General features: G+C 38.2%; 1 protein-coding gene across 28 annotated transcripts in view, besides 2 other annotated features; it reads right to left on the minus strand.

The window, feature by feature from the left end:
• The window catches only part of EVI5 (ecotropic viral integration site 5), a 283,715-nt gene that overhangs the window by 164,734 nt on the left and 98,805 nt on the right, over positions 1–20,176 (minus strand). For all 28 annotated transcript variants that reach the window (XR_001737401.2, NM_005665.6, NM_001308248.2 and 25 more), the window contains one exon: positions 3,729–3,789. Coding sequence is in view for 27 of the 28 variants with exons in the window: in NM_005665.6 (NP_005656.4) it covers positions 3,729–3,789 (61 nt within the window). In the remaining variant the exon portion in view is untranslated. The remainder of the gene's footprint in view (positions 1–3,728; positions 3,790–20,176) is intronic.
• Positions 8,683–8,977: a silencer, noted in NCBI's record as "tiled region #13174; HepG2 Repressive non-DNase unmatched - State 15:Elon". NCBI's record gives its function as "represses a minimal TATA promoter and a strong SV40 promoter by Sharpr-MPRA in HepG2 cells {active_cell/tissue: HepG2}" and the evidence as "EXISTENCE:reporter gene assay evidence [ECO:0000049][PMID:27701403]".
• Positions 19,267–19,768: an enhancer, noted in NCBI's record as "H3K27ac hESC enhancer chr1:93158253-93158754 (GRCh37/hg19 assembly coordinates)". NCBI's record gives its function as "activates a minimal SCP1, AML or CMV promoter by ChIP-STARR-seq in naive H9 embryonic stem cells {active_cell/tissue: H9 hESC(naive)}" and the evidence as "EXISTENCE:reporter gene assay evidence [ECO:0000049][PMID:30033119]".

Genomic DNA, 20,176 nt, shown 5'->3' on the forward strand with positions numbered 1-20,176 from the left:
AAAGTTTTTTTCCTTTTTAAAGATTTGTGGGTTACCCTAATATAAGCTAGAATTTTAGTTTTATAATTTTTTTCTTTTTTAAAATTGAGATGGGGTCTTGCTATGTTGTCCAGGCTGGTCTCAAACTCCTGGGCTCAAGTGATCTGCCTGCCTCGGCCTCCCAAAGTGCTGGGATTATAGGCGTGAGCCACCGCGCCCGGCCAAACTAGAATTTTAATATTTTTCACCTCCTCCCAATCAGGTAGAACATCAATAGACTGGAAGAAGATACTGATAAAGATGTTTCTATTAACAAAAAATTTCACACGCAAAATTTAAGATTTTCCATATGAAGACATTATTATCAAAATCTTCCTATAACACTTTTAGGGAAGAGGTGAAAAAATATTTAAAAGTCGCATCTTAACCGGGGGCTCACTGACAGATATAGTTCTTAGAATAGAAGGTCATCACCCCAAAGGTCTTATAATTTAATTAAAGTAAAAACAACAGAGACCTTATAAACACATTTCACAACATCAAAGGCTAATTTTATACTTCCATATCAAAACATCAAACAATTTGATGATCATACCAATGGGCTGTAAAAATAATGGCACAAAACTATCTTCCCATGGACTTTTAAAAAGAACCAAGGCAAGAAAGTACTAGTTTACAACCAGAACCCATTCTCTTGTAAAAGAGACTTTTGCGGGAGGGAGGGAGTGTGTGTAAGAAGTAGCATTTCCCATTTTACAGCAAGGCTCAATTAATATTATACCTGGCTAATGAATTGTAAATAAGGTGGTCATCTGATCATGATTAGAATGAGTTGTCAGGGTCTAAGTAAAAAAATCAGACACCCTGGAACCAACCCAAATGCCCATCAATGATAGACTGGATAAAGAAAATGTAGCACATATACACCATGGAATACTAAGCAGCCATAAAAAAGGATGAGTTCATGTCCTGTGCAGGTACATGGATGAAGCTGAAAACCATCATTCTCAGCAAACTAACACAGGAACAGAATACCAAACACCACATGTTCTTGCTCATAAGCAGGAGTTGAACAATGAGAACACATGGACACAGGGGAGGGGAACATCACACACTGGGGCCTGTCAGGGGGTGGAGGGCTAGGGAAGGAATAGCATTAGGAGAAATACCTAATGTAGATGACGGGTTAATGGGTGCAGCAAACCACCATGGCACGTGTATACCTATGTAACAAACCTGCATGTTCTGCACATGTATCCCAGAACTTAAAGTATAATTAAAAAAAAAAAAGTATTCAGTTGAAAAAAAAATCAGACACCCCTAAATATGAAGTTTAAAAAAAGTATAGTCATTCAAAAGTTGTTTTGGTTTTTCTATCTGGTGGAACTGGGGAGTGAAGAAAGAGATGAAAATGGTATAAGAAAGAACTACATGGAAACAATATTATAAAAAGAGAACAGACTACCTTTGAGATCAGCACTTTATTTACCTGATATGTTCCACTAACTTTCTAAACTCTTTTTTCCGATTCTTCTCTATAGACAATTTTATGCCAACTGCCTGAGACACATGGAGCTAGATTCAAAAACATTTCTTCAGGCATATGAACTATATATTTCCTCAAAAAACAAAGTATAGAAAATACTGCAAATGGCTGGGCGTGGTGGCTCATGCCTGTAATCCCAGCGCTTTGGAAGGCCAATGCAGGTGGATCGCCTGCACTCAGGAGTTCGAGACCAGCCTGGGCAACATGGTGAAACCCTGTCTCTACCGAAAATACAAAAAATTAGCCAGGCATGGTGGTGTGCACCTGTAGTCCCAGCTACTTAGGAGGCTGAGGTGAGAGGATCGCTTGAGCGCGGGAGGTCAAGGCTGCAAATGAGCCAAGATCATGCCACTGAACTCCAGCTTGAGTGACAGAGGGAGACCCTGTCTAAAAGAAAAGAAAATACTGCAGGTATAGGTGAAAGTCTGCTAAAAATCTGTTTTCTGAAAATGCCTTTTGGTATTCCTATATTCATGTACTTAATTTTATAAGAAATTTCTTCAAGAGTAAGGATTGTTCATAGAACTGTGATTTTTTTTTCAATAATATAGTGTGGTGAAATGAACAGGATGGCTTCCCCATCCTCAGATTCTTGATTTGCAGTTCCGAATATTCGTAGTATGTGAAAACTCATACTCTCTCCCCACTCATCAGGATGACGTACTTTTTACTTGCAGTAAAAGTACCCTTACTCATAGTACCTAAAAGAAAAGCAAATAGGGCTGGACGCGGTGGCTCACGCCTGTAATCCTAGCACTTTGGGAGGCTAAGGCAGGTGGATCACGAGGTCAGGAGATCGAGACCATCCTGGCTAACACGGTGAAACCCCATCTTTACTAAAAATACAAAAAATTAGGCGGGCTTGGTGGCGGGCGCCTGTAGTCCCAGCTACTTGGGAAGCTGAGGCAGGAGAATGGCGTGCACCTGGGAGGCGGAGCTTGCAGTGAGCCAAGATCGCACCACTGCACTCCAGCCTGGGCGATACAGCGAGACTTCGTCTCAAAAAAAAAAAAAAAGAAAAAGAAAAAAAGCAAAGCAAATAGCAGAGCAGCAGTTGGGTGACAGAATTAAAAAAAAAAAAAGGAAGGAAAAAACATCCACAGGGGTCTTTTCTATATATATAAAAAATGTGGAAGTATCTACTTCCATTTGATAAGGAAAAGGTGACAGAAATGGGAATAGAACCTCTAGAAAAGGGAGGAGAGTTGATAAGAGAGAGTTAACATAAGAAAACTGGAGAGACTGTCTCCCTAGAGGCTTTTGAGGAGGACCAAGGCAGGAAAGAGTATTAGTTTAACAGAACCCATTTCCTTGTAAAAGGAGAAAAATAAGGTGGTCATATAATGTCTCGCCAGATCCAAGTCAAAAATCAGACACATTCAAACACAAAGTTTAAAAAGGGAGGAGGGAGTCACTCCACTAAAATTATTTTACTTTTAACCCTTTCTCCAGGGGTTGGGGGTAGGGGGTGGAGGGGAATAAAGAGATTAGAAAGTGAATTGGCCAATCACTAAGTTCTTTGACTCATGCTTCCACTTATCAACGCCATCCTACAATATCAGCATAAAAGGCAACACAATTTTTCTCAAGTCCCAGCTCCAACAGTGCCACAGACCCTCACCTCAAGAATTCCGTGTTTTATGGAGGGGGGTACAAATTTTATATTTTTAGGGTACATATAGGGTATTTATATGCCCTTCGAATTGAAAATCTGCTTGATTTTCTGGAGAGGAGTAGTTCAAAAGTATAACCCTTGCTTAGAGAAGAAAAAGTCGTATCAGTCAAAGCTTTCTGCAGCTCTAGAGCAACCATAATTAGTTCTAGTGTAATATATGCTCTATTTAATGTTTGCCTGAGATTACACTCTTGTTGGTCTCAGCATAGAAAGTGTTATTATAGATTGTCTTCTCTGCAACTTTAAAAAACATGCTTAAATGGAATGATAATTTTCTTCTCCATGGAAGTGTTTTCTCCTGATGAGCCACCAACAAATCTAGAAAAAGGGAAGAGCTTGCTCTCCTTCATACTGGAATGAAAGCCACTTCAGTCGCATTATTCTGCTTTTTTGAAATGTCTATTTTTAACTATAATCTAGTAGGATGGTAAATACATTTATGAATATAAGAAGTACAAACTTTAAACATCTACTGTCCAATAATTGATTTCAATCAATCAGTACTTTAAAAAGCCCCCAACTGCTTACTTTAATTTCAACTTGCTCTTCCATTTCTTTCGTTTTTATTGTAGTGTATTCCTTTTCAAGCCTAAGAAAGGAAAAAAAAAGAGTTAAAGGTAATGTTTTCATTCAAAAGTAGTTATTAAATTACAAAATTTAAAAATACATATGAACATAAAATACAATTTCTTTAGTTTCTTCTAGCTTATAACTTGGAGATATTTGATGTGAGAAAAATCATGTGGCTTCATGAGTTCTTATTAAAAACTCACTTTACAAATGACAAAAATAAAAACCACACAAAAAGAAAATTTACAAACTGAAATGTATAAAGCACAAAATGCAACTTAGTTTACAGATTCTTTTCAGCCCTAAACTTACAAATGAACCATTATTCTTATTTCTCAAATTAAAACACACCTGTAGGTTCAACTGGCTCTTAACTTAAAAATCCTGGTACCAACATTGACTTTGAAAATTTTAATGAGGGAAAGGGGACAACTCTTCCTTATAGAATTCCAATTAATAGACATAGGAGGAATAAGGTTAATATAAAAATCACCATTAGAATTCCTCAGTAATAACTACTGCGGGAGGAACCACTAATGGATGCTAAAATTAGTGGGTGAAAGTTTAAGCATAGTCTCAAATTATCTCTCCTAAAATATTTAGTAAGTGTTAAAGGAAAATACTAAATTTACAGTACAGAATCCTAGTAGACTGCACCTGAACTAACTGATTAAGGTTAACATCACCAGTAATACATACTGACATCATGCACCCCTGTTAAGATGTACTGAGTTAAGTGAATTAACACAGGAACAGAAAACCAAAAACCCATGTTCTCCCTTACAACTAGGAGCTAAACACTGGGTACTCATGGACATAAAGATGGGAACAACAGATACTGAGGACTAATAGAAGGCGAAGGCAGGGAGGGGGACAAGGGCTGAAAAACTAACCGTTGGGTACTATGCTTGCTATCTGGGTGATGGGATCATTCATATCTCAAACCTCAGCATCATGCAATATGCCCATGAAATACATATGTGCATGTACCCCCTGAATTTAAAATAAAGGTCAAAATTATTAAAAAGTAAAAATAATTTAAAACATGACACTGACCACGGTGGATCATGCCTCTAATCCCAGCACTTTGGGGGGCCAAGGGGGGCCAAGTGCTTGAGGCCAGGGGTTCAAGACCAGCCTGGGCAACATGGTGAAACCCAGTCTCTACAAAAAATACAAAAATTAGCCAGGTGCGGTGGGTGCATGCCTGTAGTTGCAGGTACTCAGAGGCTGAGGTGGGAGGATTGCTTGAGCCAGGAAAGTCAAGGTTGCAGTGAGCCATGATCTAGCCACTGCACTCCAGCCTGGGACCCTTCCCTGCAACGCCCAGAAAGTGATAAACCATTTTTTTAAAAGAAAAAAGATGTCCTGAAAAGGGCATATCATCTCTGTGGTCTGTCACTGATTGGAGGAGAGTAAGCACGATATGCAACTCTATGGTAAGTCTAAATTTACCTTTATAAAAATGTATAGGCCACACAAAAATTAGTACCACCAAATTTTTTTTATCTTGCTCTTGACAAAAAATATCAATACCAAGGTTACTCCAAATATAAACCAGACCAGGCTCCAAATAACTTACAGCTGCTTTCAAAAATAAAATTCTCCCTCAAAGGACAGAAATCTATTACTTATCTCATTTAGCTCACAACAACTTTTTAATATAAGTTGTTATACCCACTCTGGGGTTTAGAAAGCTTGAGAAACTTCTGTATAGTCACAGATTTGACTGCTACATTACTCTGTCTCTCACTAAAGTGTATCTTAAAACAGCAGTCCCCAACCCCTGGGCAGTGGACCAATACCAGTCTGTGGCCTGTTAGGAACTGGGTCATACAGCAGGAGGTGAACGGCAGGCAAGTGAACATCACTGCCTGAGCTCCACCTCCTGTCAGATCAGTGGCAGCATTAGATTCTCAAAGGAGTGCAAACCCTATTGTGAATTGTGCATGCTGGGGATCTAGGCTGCGGGCTCCTTATGAGAATCTCATGACTGATGATCTGACATGAGGTGGAACAGTTTCAACCTGAAGCCATACCCCCAGCCCCCATAAGTGGAGAAATGGTCTTCCACGAAAGCGGTCCCTAGTGTCAAAAAGGCTGGGGACCACTGTCTTAAAAGACTATAAGATAGCCGACAGAATTTATTAAAGACTCCAAAGAGCTGCAAAACATTTTCAACAGCTGCACTACTGAAATAAGTTTATAGCCTTCACAAATGACTACTCTGAAGTAGTTATCATTATGCATTATGTAAAAATATCACTCATTTATACACCTAAAAATAAACCCTACTTATTTAACTCCACTGATAGTGTTTTTCAATAAACTTAATTTAAAAAAAAATATTTGGTTTACAAAAAGATTGTGAAGATAGTACAGAGATTCCATGTATCCCATCCCAGTTTACCCTATTATTAACATGTTACAGTAGTATGGTACATTGTTATAATTAATGAACCAATATTAACACATTGCTGTTACCTAAAGCCCATGACAGTTTTGATGAGAACCTTGACAGTTTTGAGGAGTACTGGTCAGGTATTTTGTAGTTATCATTATGTGATCTTCAAAAGGGACCATTCCGTCCTTCAAATGGGATTTGTCTCATGTTTTTCTCATGATTATACTGGGGTTATTGGGTTTTCAGGAGGAAGACCACAGACATAAATGCCGTTTTCATTGCCTCATACTAAGGGTACAAACTATCAACAGAACATCACTATTGATGTTGACCTTGATCATCTGGCTGAAGGAGTACACACCAGGTTTTTCCAGTGTAAAGTTATTTGTTCCCCCTTCACTGATAGTGTTTTTAGACCCGCATTATGATTTGTCTAAATTACTGGAAAATACTCATAATTGTTCTTTCTATGGCCAGTTTCATAACTCAATATTTTCTATACACTATTAACAGAGTGATCTTTTTTTAAAATGTTGATTTGGATCACGCCACACCCAGCGTGTCAGTGGTTACTCATCACCTTCAGACTAAATTTCAAAGGCTTACAAAAAAGTAATCAAAGCTCTCTGGAGAAATAGCTCATTACTGCGCAGGAGCCAAGAAGGTATAAGTTGAACCTGGAATATTTTGTTGCCCCAAAGAAAGGAAATTCCCAAAGAATAATGGGGAAAATATCAAAAGAACAAAGCACCCAGGTTGCAAGGGTTCCCACTGGACAAATCAGGGATAATTTAATAGTAATGGATTATAGCTCACTGAATAAAATAATCCATGAATTCACACTGATGTAAATAAATGAATAAATAAATGAGGGTGAAGGGAAAGCTCTTCCTTACAGTAGAATGCTGATTAATAAATAAAGAATGAGGGAGTGGGAAAATCATAAATGGATATAAAACTGGTATGGTTAAGTTTGGTAAAGAAAGAGGTTACTACATAATCTCAAAGTAGCCTGCCACAAATTACTTATTACAAAAGGGGAAATAATAACTTTACAGTAGTAAAACCCAGCAAACATCACCTTAATCAAGTGACCAAAGCTAACATTACCAGTTCTGAGAGAAAGTAATATCATATATATCGTATGGTGAAATGAGAAGATATAATATCAGGGGTATACCTGCCAAAAATGCACAACCTGAATCTAATCCTGGGGAAATCCCAGAAAAACTCAGACTTTGAGATTTTCTACAAAATAATTGGCCTGTACACTCTTTAAATATATCAGAAACACAAAGACTGAGGAAATATGTCAGATTAAAGAAAACCAAATAGGTATTAACACCTAAATCCTACACATGATCCTAGAGCGGACCCTGGACGGAGGGTGGGGGAGATAGTTATACAGCATATTATTGGGACAGCATATATACAGCATATATTGGTGATAAAATCTGAACATACACTGTGGATTAGATAATAGTATTGTATCTATTAGGTTGGTCCAAAAGTAACTGGTTTTTGCCGTTGAAAGTAATGCAAAAACTGCAATTACTTTTGCACCAACCTAATATAATTTCCTTGTTTTGATTAACTACTGGGTTTATGTTAAAGGAGAGAAAAGTTGTTGTTCATAGGAAGTACACATTCAAGTATTTACAGATAAAGGGCACAATATCTCAATTTACTCTCAAATGGACCTCCCCCAAAATGGGAATGGATTTTACACACACACACTATATTTATATACGCATACAGAGGAGAGAGGATAATAAAGCAAATGGGATGAAATGTAAACAATTGGTGAATCTTGGTAAAGAGTATATCGTACCCCCTTAAGTTTAAAAGTATACCAACGTAAAAATTCATCAAAAAAAAGTCAAAGGCTAAGATTCAACTCTTACAACTGTCATGTAGTAAGGGAACCTATGAGCCTTTGTACCTATTACCGTTCTTCTTAAAATGCCCTCCTTCTCTTCACCTGGCCAACCTTCATTACAGCAAAGAGTAAAACTTTTAAAACCAGATCATGTCACTTTTCGCAAAATCCTCTACTGGTTTCCCCTCAGATGTGGAAAAAGTCTGGCCCATGAGGAGGACAATAACCAACAAAACGTTTGACAATGACGAAAACGTGCTAGATCTGTATTGTCCAATAGAGTAGCCATTAGCCACATGTGAGTGACTAATTAGCACTTGAAATATAACTGATGAAATAAATTTTAATCATATTTAGACTAGATAGTCACATATGGGTAATGGCTACCACAGTAGATGGCATTGCTCTAAATACCCCTAGCACCCTACCATGTTTCTGACTTCACTGCTCACCACACTCCTATTTGCCTATGCTACTACAGTCCCATTGGTTTTCCTCCTTTTCATTTTTGCAGAGATGGGGTTTTACTATGTTGCCCAGGCTGGTCTCAAACTCCTAGGCTCAATGGATCCTCCCACCTCAGCCTCTCCAAGTGCTGGGATTATAGGTGTGAGCCACTGTGCCCGGCCTCTCACTGGTTTTCTATTCCTTGAATGTATCAATCACATTCTTGCCTCAGTCTTTACATTTACTGTTATTGTACTGTAGGACACACTTCCCCCAGATAATCCCATGACTCGCACTCTTACTTCCCTCTGGTGTCGGCTCAAATAGTATCTTACCGGCCTGTGAGCCCTATCTCTGCGTGCCCTGTCTAAAAGAGTGCTCATCTCTCCATGTCCTTTATCTGGCTTTGTTTTCTTCATGGCACGTTCACTGATGGATGTTACACTGTATATCATTCTGTCAGTCTTCTGTATTTCAGTAAGTTCCATATCAGCAGGGATTTTCTGTTGCAGGCATAATTTAACCCTAGCAATTAGAAACAACAGTCTTCGGCCAGGCATGGTGGCTCATGCCTGTAATCCCAGCACTTTGGGAGGCCGAGGTGGGTGGATCACCTGAGGTCAGGAGTTCGAGACCAGCCTGGCCAACATAGCGAAACCCAGTCTCTACTAAAAATTTTTAAAAAATTAGCTGGACATGGTGGCATGCGCCTCTAGTCCCAGCTACTCAGGAGGCTGAGGCTTGAACCTTGGAGGAGGTTGCAATGAGCCAAGATCGCACCATTGTACTCCAGCCTGCAAGACTTCGTCTCAAAAAAAAAGAAAGAAACAAAGGTCTTCAAAATTGTACTCAGGTATCATCTCCTTCAGAGAACTACCTGAAATTTCCTCCTCTGCCATCATCCTATGCCATCCTGTGGTCTTATTTTTCTGCTCATGTATCTGCTAAAAGAATGTTTCCTCATATACATTTTAAAGACTTCTAAATTTTGTTTTATCTCAAGTGTAAATATAGTTAAAAAGGACATACAGTTGTAATTTATATGTACTTTAAAATTTTTCCACTGAAACTTAAGTGACATTTATCTTATTTATGGACGTCTAATCTAGGACCTAACTGGCAAAGGCAGTCATTATTATTAAACCAATGAGCCAAATTACATTTACTTCCTGTCATTAAAGTGTTGCCTTCACTTTTCAATTCAAATAAACATGAGTTAATAATCTGCCCCATGATCACAATTCTACTTCTGAATTCTAATTCAGAAATTTTTTCTGAATTCTAATTCAGAACACCAATATTTGCTGTTCTGCAGTCTCCGCTGATGATACCCATGCAAACAGGGTCTGGAGTGGACCTCCAGCAAACTCCAAAAGATCTGCAGCTGAGGGTTCTGACTGTTAGAAGAAAAACTAACAAACAGAAAGAAATCGCATCATCAACAAAAAGGACTTCCATACCAAAACCCCATCCATAGGTCACCAACATCAAAGACCAAAGGTAGATAAAACCACAAAGATGAGGAGAAACCAGAGAAGCTAAAAATTCCAAAACACAGAGCACCTCTTCGCCTCCAAAGGATCACAGCTCCTCGCCAGCAAGGGAACAAAACTGGATGGAGAATGAGTTTGACGAGTTGACAGAAGTAGGCTTCAGAAGGTAGGTAATAACAAACTTCTCTGAGCTAAAGGAGCATGCTCTAACCCATCACAAGGAAGCTAAAAACCTTGAAAAAAGGTTAGATGATTGGCTAACTAGAATAAACACTATAGAGAAGACCTTAAATGACCTGATGGAGCTGAAAACCATGGCACAAGAACTTCGTGACACATGCACAAGCTTCAATAGTTGATTCGATCAAGTGGAAGAAAGTGACTGAAGATGAAATTAATGAAATAAAACGAAAAGACAAGATGAGAGAAAAAAAGAGTGAAAAGAAATGAACAAAGACTCCAAGAAATATGGGAGTATGTGAAAAGACCAAATATACATTTGATTGTTGTACCAGAAAGTGATGGGGACAATGGAACCAAGTTAGAAAACACTCTTCACGATATTATCCAAAAGAACTTCCCTAACCTAGCAAGGCAGGACAACATTCAAATTGAGGAAAAACAGAGAACACCACAAAGATACTCCTCGAGAAGAGCAATCCCAAGACACATAAATGTCAGATTCACCAAGGTTGAAATGAAGGAAAAAATGTTAAGGGCAGCCACAGAGAAAGGTCGGGTTACCCACAAAGGGAAGCCCATCAGACTAACAGCGGATCTCTAGGCAGAAACCCTACAAGCCAGAAGAGATTGGGGGCCAATATTCAACATTCTTAAAGAAAAGAATTTTCAACCCAGAATCTCATATCCAGCCAAACTAAGCTTCAGAAGTGAAGGAGAAATAAAATTCTTTACAGACACAGAAATGCTGAGAGATTTTGTCACCACCAGGCCTGCCTTACAAGAGCTCCTGAAGGAAGCACTAAACATGGAAAAGAACAACTGGTGCCAGCCACTGCAAAAACATGACAAATTGTAAAGACCAGTGACACTGTGAAGAAACTGAATCAATTAATGGGCAAAATAACCAGCTAACATCACAATGACGGGGTCAAATTCAAACATAACAATATTAACCTTAAATGTAAATGGGCTAAATGCTCCAATTAAAAGACACAGACTGGCAAATTAGATAAAGAGTCAAGACCCATCAGTGTGCTGTATTCAGGAGACCCACCTCACGTGCAAAGACACACATAGGCTCAAAGTAAAGGGATGGAGGAAGATCTACCAAGCAATTGGAAAGCAAAAAAAAAAGCATGGGTTGCAATCCTAGTCTCTGATAAAACAAACTTTAAACCAACAAAGATAAAAACAGACAAAGAAGGTCACTACATAATGGTAAAGGGATCAATTCAACAAGAAGAGCTAACTATCCTAAATATACATGCACCCAATACAAGAGCACCCAGATTCATAAAGCAAGTCCTGAGAGACCTACAAAGAGACTTAGACTCCTACACAATAATAATGGGAGACTTTAACACCCCACTGTCAATACTAGACAGATCAACAAGACAGAAGGTTAACAAGGATATCCAGGACTTGAACTCAGCTCTGGACCAAGCAGACCTACTAGATATCTACAGAACTATCCACCCCAAATCAACAGAATATACATTCTTCTCAGCACCACATGGCACTTATTCCAAAATTGACCACATAGTTGGAAGTAAAGCACTCCTCAGCAAATGTAAAAGAACAGAAATCACAACAAACGGTCTCTCAGACAACAGTGCAATTAAATTAGAACTCAGGATTCAGAAACTCACTCAAAACGCACAACTATATGGAAACTGAACAACCTGCTCCTGAGTGACTACTGGGTACATAACAAAATGAAGGCAGAAATAAAGATGTTCTTTGAAACCAGTGAGAACAAACACAATGTACCAGAATCTCTGGGACACATTTAAAGCAGTGTGTAGAGGGAAATTTATAGCACTAAATGCCCACAAGAGAAAGCAGAAAAGATCTAAAATTGACACACTAACATCACAATTAAAAGAACTAGAGAAGCAAGAGCAAACACATTCAAAAGCTAGCAGAAGGCAAGAAATAACTAAGATCAGAGCAGAACTGAAGGAAATAGAGACACAAAAATCCCTTCAAAAAATCAATGAATTCAGGAGCTGGTGTTTTGAAGAGATTAACAAAATAGACCACTAGCAACACTAATAAAGAAGGAAAGAGGGAAGAATCAAATAGATGCAATAAAAAATGATAAAGGGGATATCACCACCGATCCCACAGAAATAAACAACCATCAGAGAATACTATAAATACCTCTGTGCAAATAAACTAGAAAATCTAGAAGAAATGGATAAAATCCTGGAAACATACACCCTCCCAAGACTAAACCAGGAAGAAGTAGAATCCCTGAATAGACCAATTAACAGGTTCTGAAATTGAGGCAATAATCAACAGCCTACCAACCAAAAAAAGTCCAGGACCTGATGGATTCACAGTCAAATTCTTCCAGAGGTACAAAAAGGAGCTTGCACCATTCCTTCCGAAACCATTTCAATCAACAGAAAAAGAGGGAATCCACCTTAGCTCATTTTATGAGGCTAGCATCATCCTGATACCAAAGCCTGGTAGAGACACAACAAAAAAAGAGAATTTTAGGCCAATACCCCGATGAACACTGATGTGAAAATCCTCAATAAAATATTGGCAAACCGAATACAGCAGCACATCAAAAAGCTTATCCACCATGATCAAGTTGGCTTCATCCCTGGGATGCAAGGCTGCTTCAACATACGAAAATCAATAAACATAATCCACCACGTAAACAGAACCAACGACAAAAACCACATGATTATCTCAATAGATGCAGAAAAGGCCTTTGACAAAAGTCAACAGCCTTCATGCTAAAAACTCTCAATAAACTAGGTATTGATGGAACGTATCTCAAAATAATGAGCTATTTATGACAAACCCATAGCCAATATCATACTGAATGGGCAAAAGCTGGAAGCATTCCCTTTGAAAACCTGCACAAGGCAAGGATGCCCTCTCTCACCACTCCTATTCAACATAGTGTTGGAAGTTCTGGCCAGGGCAATCAGGCAAGAGAAAGAAATACAGGGTATTCAGTTAGGAAAAGAGGAAGTCAAATTGTCCCTGTTTGCAGATGACATGGTTGGATATTTAGAAAACCCCATCATCTCAGTGCAAAATCTCCTTAAGCTGATAAACAACTTCAGCAAAGTCTCAGGATACAAAATCAATGTGCAAAAATCACAAGTATTTCTATACACCAATAATAGACAAACAGCCAAATCATGAGTGAACTCCCATTCACAATTACTACAAAGAGAATAAAATACCTGGGAATACAACTTACAAGGGATGTGAAGGACCTCTTCAAGGAGAACTACAAATCACTGCTCAATGAAATAAGAGGACACAAACAAACGGAAGAACATTCCATGCTCATGGATTGGAAGAATCAATATCATGAAAATGGCCATACTGCCCAAGGTAATTTATAGATTAAATGCCATCCCCATCAAGCTACCACTGGTTTTCTTCACAGAATTAGAAAAAACTACTTTAAAGTTCATATGGAACCAAAAAAGAGCCCACATTGCCGAAACAATCCTAAGCAAAAAGAACAAAGCTGGAGGCATCACGCTACCTGACTTCAAACTATACTACAAGGCTACAGTAACCAAAACAGCATGGTACTGGTACCAAAACAGATATATAGACCAATGGAACAGAACAGAGGCCTCAGAAATAACACCACACATCTACAACCATCTGCTCTTTGACAAACCTGACAAAAACAAAAAATGGGAAAAAGATTCCCTATTTAATAAATGATGCTGGGAAAACTGGCTAGCTATATGTAGAAAGCTGAAACTGGATCCCTTCCTCACACCTTATACAAAAATTAATTCAAGATGGATTAAAGACTTAAATGTTAGACCTAAAACCATAAAAACCCTAGAAGAAAACCTAGGCAGTACCATTCAGGACATAGGCATGGGCAAAGACTTCATGACTAAAACACCAAAAGCAATGGCAACAAAAGCCAAAATTGACAAATGGGATCTAATTAAACTAAAGAGCTTCTGCACAGCAGAAGAAACTATCACCAGAGTGAACAGGCAACCTAAAGAATGGGAGAAAATCTTTGCAATCTACCCATCTGACAAAGGGCTAATATCCAGCATCTACAAAGAACTTAAACAAATTTACAAGAAAAAGACAACTCCATCAAAAAGTGGGCCAAGGATATGAACAAATACTTCTCAAAAGAAGACATTTATGCAGCCAACAGACATGTGATAAAATGCTCATCACCACTGGTCATCACAGAATGCAAATCAAAACCACAATGAGATACCATCTCATGCCAGTTAGATGGTGATCATTAAAAAGTCAGGAAACAACAGATGCTGGAGAGGATGTGAAGAAATAGGAACGCTTACACTGTTGGTGGGAGTGTAAATTAGTTCAACCATTGTGGAAGGCAGTGTGGCAATTCCTCAAGGATCTAGAACTAGAAATACCATTTGATCCAGCAATCCCATTACTGGGTATATACCCAAAGGATTATAAATTATGCTATTATAAAGACACATGCACATGTATATTTATTGCGGCACTATTTACAATAGCAAAGACTTGGAACCAACCCAAATGTCCATCAATGATAGACTGGATTAAGAAAATGTGGCGCATATACACCATGGAATACTATGCATCCATAAAAAAGGATGGGTTCATGTCCTTTGCAGGGACATGGATGAAGCTGGAAACCATGATTCTACACAAACTATCACAAGGACAGAAAACCAAACACCGCATGCTCTCACTCATAGGTGGGAGCTGAACAAAACCTGTACGTTGTGCACATGTACCCTAGAACTTAAAGTATAATAATAATAATAAAGAAAACTTCCATTTTTCTTGCTTTGCTCTCTCAGGGGATGCTCTCTCAGGGGATACTCCCTCAGGAGCAAGTCATTCTGAAATTGTTCATTTTGTTTGGAGCCACAGAGATTTTTTATAAACTAAAGTAAGGTACCATAGTAAGATCTAGGTTGGGTGACAGGTTTTCCTTCCTTCCTTTAATAAAGTGGGAGAAGGCATGCTGTAAAAAGGAAGGTGCGAAGAAGAACCGAGGCACCTCTACTACAGAAATGTTATCAGAAAGATAAATTGTAGGAAAGACTATAGATAGAAATTGAAAGTCTACTTAACCAAGCTCTGAACATTTTCCTGACACCCAGCAGTCTGTGTATGCCAGTCTGAAGACATACGGGTTAGGTATCTCTAACATATAATTTTAATAATCTGTTACATATTTGCATCTAACAAGCCATTTACTTTTCTGTGCTGCTACCCTCCAACCAACAGGAAGCTTGAGCATTTTTGAGAGGTAGGTCCAATTGTTGAGTTTATTATATATTCCAAAACTGATACTTAGTAGAAATGGACAAGACTTATCTTTTAATGCTGACAAAAGATTACAACCCAGATCATAAACAACTAGTAACCACTAACAAGTCAAAGCAGTATGAAGTAGACACTGCAGTAAAAAAGGGAGGAAAAAAATAGAAGAAAAACATGAGGCCAATAAACATATGAAAAGATGCTTAGTCTTATTAACAATCAAGGAAATGTAAATTAAGTGGAAAATGAGACATTTTATACTGGCCACAATGAGAACACATACACTGCTGGGTTAGACTACAAATTAGTGTCACTTTGGCAAAATTCTGTGATGCTGAACACAGCTTACTTTGCAACCTTAAAACATTCTGAATATAAACCTGTAAGTCCTTAATAATGCCCCCTGCTACTGGTAAAAATTAAGTAGATTGGCAAAAATTAAGAATAACCAAGCACTGATGACAAAGTAGAACAATGAGACTTTTTTTTTAGACAGGGTCTCACTCTGTCACTCAGGCTGGAGTGTAGTGGCACAATCATGGATCACTGCAGCCAGGACCGCCCAGGCTCAAGTGATCCTCCCACCTTGGCTTCTTGAGTAGCTGGGACCACAGGTGTGCTGGCGCCACCACATCCAGCTAATTTTTCTATTTTTTTGTAGAGACAAAGTTTCACCATGTTGCCTGGGCTGGTCTCAAACTCCTAGGCTCAAACAATCTGCCTGCCTCAGCCTCCTGAAGTGAAAGGACTACAGATGTTAAACCACTGCACGTGGCCACAATAAGAACTCTTACACTGCCGGGTTAGACTATAGATTAGTGTCACTTTGGCAAAATTTTGTGATGTTGAACACAGCTTACTTTGCAACCTTAAAACATTCTGAATATAGGCTGTAATTCGTTAATAATGCCACCTGCAAAAGAATAGACTAATTTAAAAGAACACCATTCCCACTAACTCTTTTCTCTGGAAATTGGTAATTAAAGGGAATAATAAAGTTGTTTTGTTTTGTTTAAGAGAGAGGGTCTCACTCTGTCACCCAGGCTGGAGTGCAGTGCTGTGATCACAGCTCACTGCAGCCTCCAACTCCAGACTCAAGCAATCTTCCCACCTCAGCCTATGGAAAAGCCAGGACTACAGGCACCTGGTTAGCTTATTTTATTTATTGCAGAGATGGGGTCTCGCTATGTTGCCCAGGCTGGTCTCAAACTCCCAGGCTCAAGCAATCCTCTTGCCTGGGCCTCCCAAAGTGCTGGTATTGTGGGTGTGAGCCACCACGCCTGGCTGAAATAATGAAGTGTTTATATGTGTTTCCAGTAGAATGAAGTTAGCTGCAGTTAAAGAAGAAAAGGTTATGAAGAAAGCTGACTGATAAATGTAAGAAGAATAACATTTTTAAAATCATGCTTTTGTTATCCTAAATGAAATAATTTAACATGAAAAGTATCCCCAATGATACTTTTTTTTTTTTTTTGGAGACAGGGTCTCACTCTATTGCCAAGGCTGAAGTACAGTGACGCAATCACAGTTCACTGCATCCTAGACTTCTCAAGTGATTCTCCCAACTTAGTATCTTGAGTAGCTGGAACTAAAGGTGTACACCACCATACCTGGCTAATTTTTGGTCTTTTTTTTTTCTATACAGTCAGGATTTCACCACGTTGCCCAGGCTGGTCTTGAATTCCTGGCCTCAAGTGATCTGCCTACCTCGGCCTCCCAAAGTACTGGGATTATAGGTGTGAGCCACTGTGCCTGGCCCTCAATAATAACTTTTGAGCAGACTGAGCCAAGAGGTGGAAGGTCATAATGAACTGGATATTCTTACAATGCCAAAGTATCAACTTACAAAGTACTTACTGGGTGCCAAGAGGGAAAACATAACCTCATAATAAAGAAATCTGTCATTACCTTAACCTAGTCACCAATCATGGCATCTCTAATAACAGTGAGACAGACATTATGCATCTTTTAAGATGAATAAAGTACATGGTATCACCTATTAAGTATTCTTGTCAGAAATGTTTGCACTTAATTAGATTAAGTCTTCACATTAGCTCCCAGTTTATAGAAAACACAAGAGATACAGAAGTTAAATGAGATAACAAGGAAATAATCAGATGAATCCTTCAGGTTGGATATTCTCGGTATAACTGACTTGGTCTCTTCAACAAGCCAATATATTAAAAAAGAAGATTGGAATAGGTGGTGCTGATCTAAATTTTTAAAAATGTAAGTGAACAACTGAATACAATGAAATCAATGGCAAAGACATTTTTGGCACAACTGAGGAAATGTGAACATAGACTGAGTATTAGGCAGTATTATGGAACTACTGTTAAGTGGTGGAAGCAATGTGGTAAATGAGGCAAATTACTTTATGGACATGAATACTGATGTATTAAAGAGTGAAGTGTCACAATTTCTGAGCTTTACTTTGAAAAAAATAAATATGACAAAATATTAACAATATTTACTTTGAAATACTTTGAAAAAAATAAATATGACAAAATATTAACAGTTGTTAAATACAGACAATAAGCAATGGATATTTATTATTCTATTTTTGTTATGTCTGAAAATTTTCCCAAGTGAAAAAAAGCAAATAGAATGTGATCTGTAGCTAATGAGTAAAATCTATTCTTTCCTTCACAGCTAAGCTTCATAAAAGGAAAATGAAATGCTATGTTGAGGAAGGTTTTGTTTTGTTGCTTCTAAGTCAGAACTCAAAATTATCTTCTTAGATTGAAGAAAATGAAACAACAGAGAGAGAGGTTGAAGATAGAGAAGGAATAATTAATGGAGCAAAGACCTGGAAGAGATGGAAATGAGTAACATCACGTATTCTGAATTAGCATTATAAAGGAAAAAAAAATACTGTATTCTAAAAAGAGAAGAAAAAGAACATAGCTAAGTCTACAAGCTGGAAGACAGCAAGTTTAGGAAGTTTGGAAATGACTGCTGAATTAGGAATAAGGTAATCTGGTGAGAGTTACATATAGCAAAAAGGGGATGGGAGTTTGGGAAGAATGGTAAGGTTTGAAGTAACCACTGTGAGGAATGAGATAATTAATCAAAGTCAATATAAATATACATGGAAGGCCACTGGAAACATAATTTACTGTCAGCAATCTCAGTAACTATGCAATAACAATTGGATACATGAATACAGGAAACAAAAGGGCAGAGGAAGCACAGTTGTTCATATCAGAAGAAGGCTTTTAAACCTCAATCTAGAGATCTTGATAAAGCAGAATGGGGAGAGCACGAATAAGGAAGTGAAAGAAATAGAGGGCCAGAAATCTGATAAGTAAACAGGATTAATTGAAATTTCAGAAATGGATTGTACATATGACAAGATCTATGCAAGGAGAATTAGTTACCAAGAAGGTTAAGGAACCTCATTCTCTATCAGACTTTTAAAGTCAAATAAATTCTCTGCCTGGCTAGTGTGAGTTCAATGTGGTTTTACCAAGTGACAAAAATTGAGATAATTTGTTTTTATCAGTTACAAGGCACAGCGGCTTTTTGTCTATATGATGTCTCCACACATGGTAGTTATTTAAAACGTATCAACATGATGGTGGTTATTTAAAACATCACAAGTAACTTAATAAAAGCTGAAGCTCAAAAATCGGCTTGGCTTGCTTTTGTCAATTAGAGCTAACTTTTTAATTTTTTTAAAAGAGATAAGGTATCACTATGTTACCTAGGCTGATTGTGAACTCCTGAGCTCAAGCAATCCTCCTGCCTCAGCCTCCGGAGTAGCTGGGACTACAGGTACACATCATTGTGCATGGAAAAGCTAACTAATTTTAATAACATTAATTCTCACTCATATTTAAATATACTTTGTGGAGTAGGAATATCCATGGGAGTAGTATGTTGTACATGTTAATGTAATTTCATATTGCAGCAGAAAAACTGCTAACTGCTAGCATACAGTACTGTTATCATTTTAAAGCATTTTATACCATAGAAAGTACAGTATCAGAAATGCTAACTATGACCGCAGGCTAAGAATTAAGTACTGGAAGCTAGAGAAATCACAGCTATTATTTTAATTAATACACTTAATCTGTTTCAAAAATAAAACTAATGAGCAGAGACTTTATTTTGAACTTTTAGGACATGAATGCCAAAAAAAGCTTCATTAGAAAGTAGTACAAAAAATAAGATTTGACCAGGTGCAGCGGCTCACACCTGTAATCCCAACATTTTAGGAGGCTGAGGTGGGAGGATCACTTGAGCCCAGGGGTTCGAGACCAGCCTGGGCAACATAGTGACACTCTGTCTCTACAAAACAAATTTTAAAATTAGCCAGGCATGGTGGTGTGCGCCTGTAGTACACCTGTGCTTTAGTAGAGACAGGGTACTTCCTGTACTCAGGAAGCTGATGTGGGAGGATCACTTGAGCCTAGGATTTCAAGGCTACAGTGAGCAGCCATAATCACACCACTGTACTCCAGCCTGGGTGACAGAGCAAAAGCCTGTCTCTAAAATAAATAAATAAAATTTTAAGTTCTCAATCCATACCTCATGTCTATCTTGCTGGTTATGCTAATTTTGAACTTAAGTGACACTGTGGGGTCAAACTAAGAGGAAAAGAATGTCAATGAATGGGACCACACCAGAAAAGTGGTTTTAAAAATAACAGCATCCTCATATATGTATATCCATTCCAGGCTCCTAATTCTAGTCAACGTGGAAAAGGAGG

The sequence above is a fragment of the Homo sapiens genome, chromosome 1, assembly GCF_000001405.40.
Source record: "Homo sapiens chromosome 1, GRCh38.p14 Primary Assembly".
NCBI lineage: Eukaryota > Metazoa > Chordata > Mammalia > Primates > Hominidae > Homo > Homo sapiens.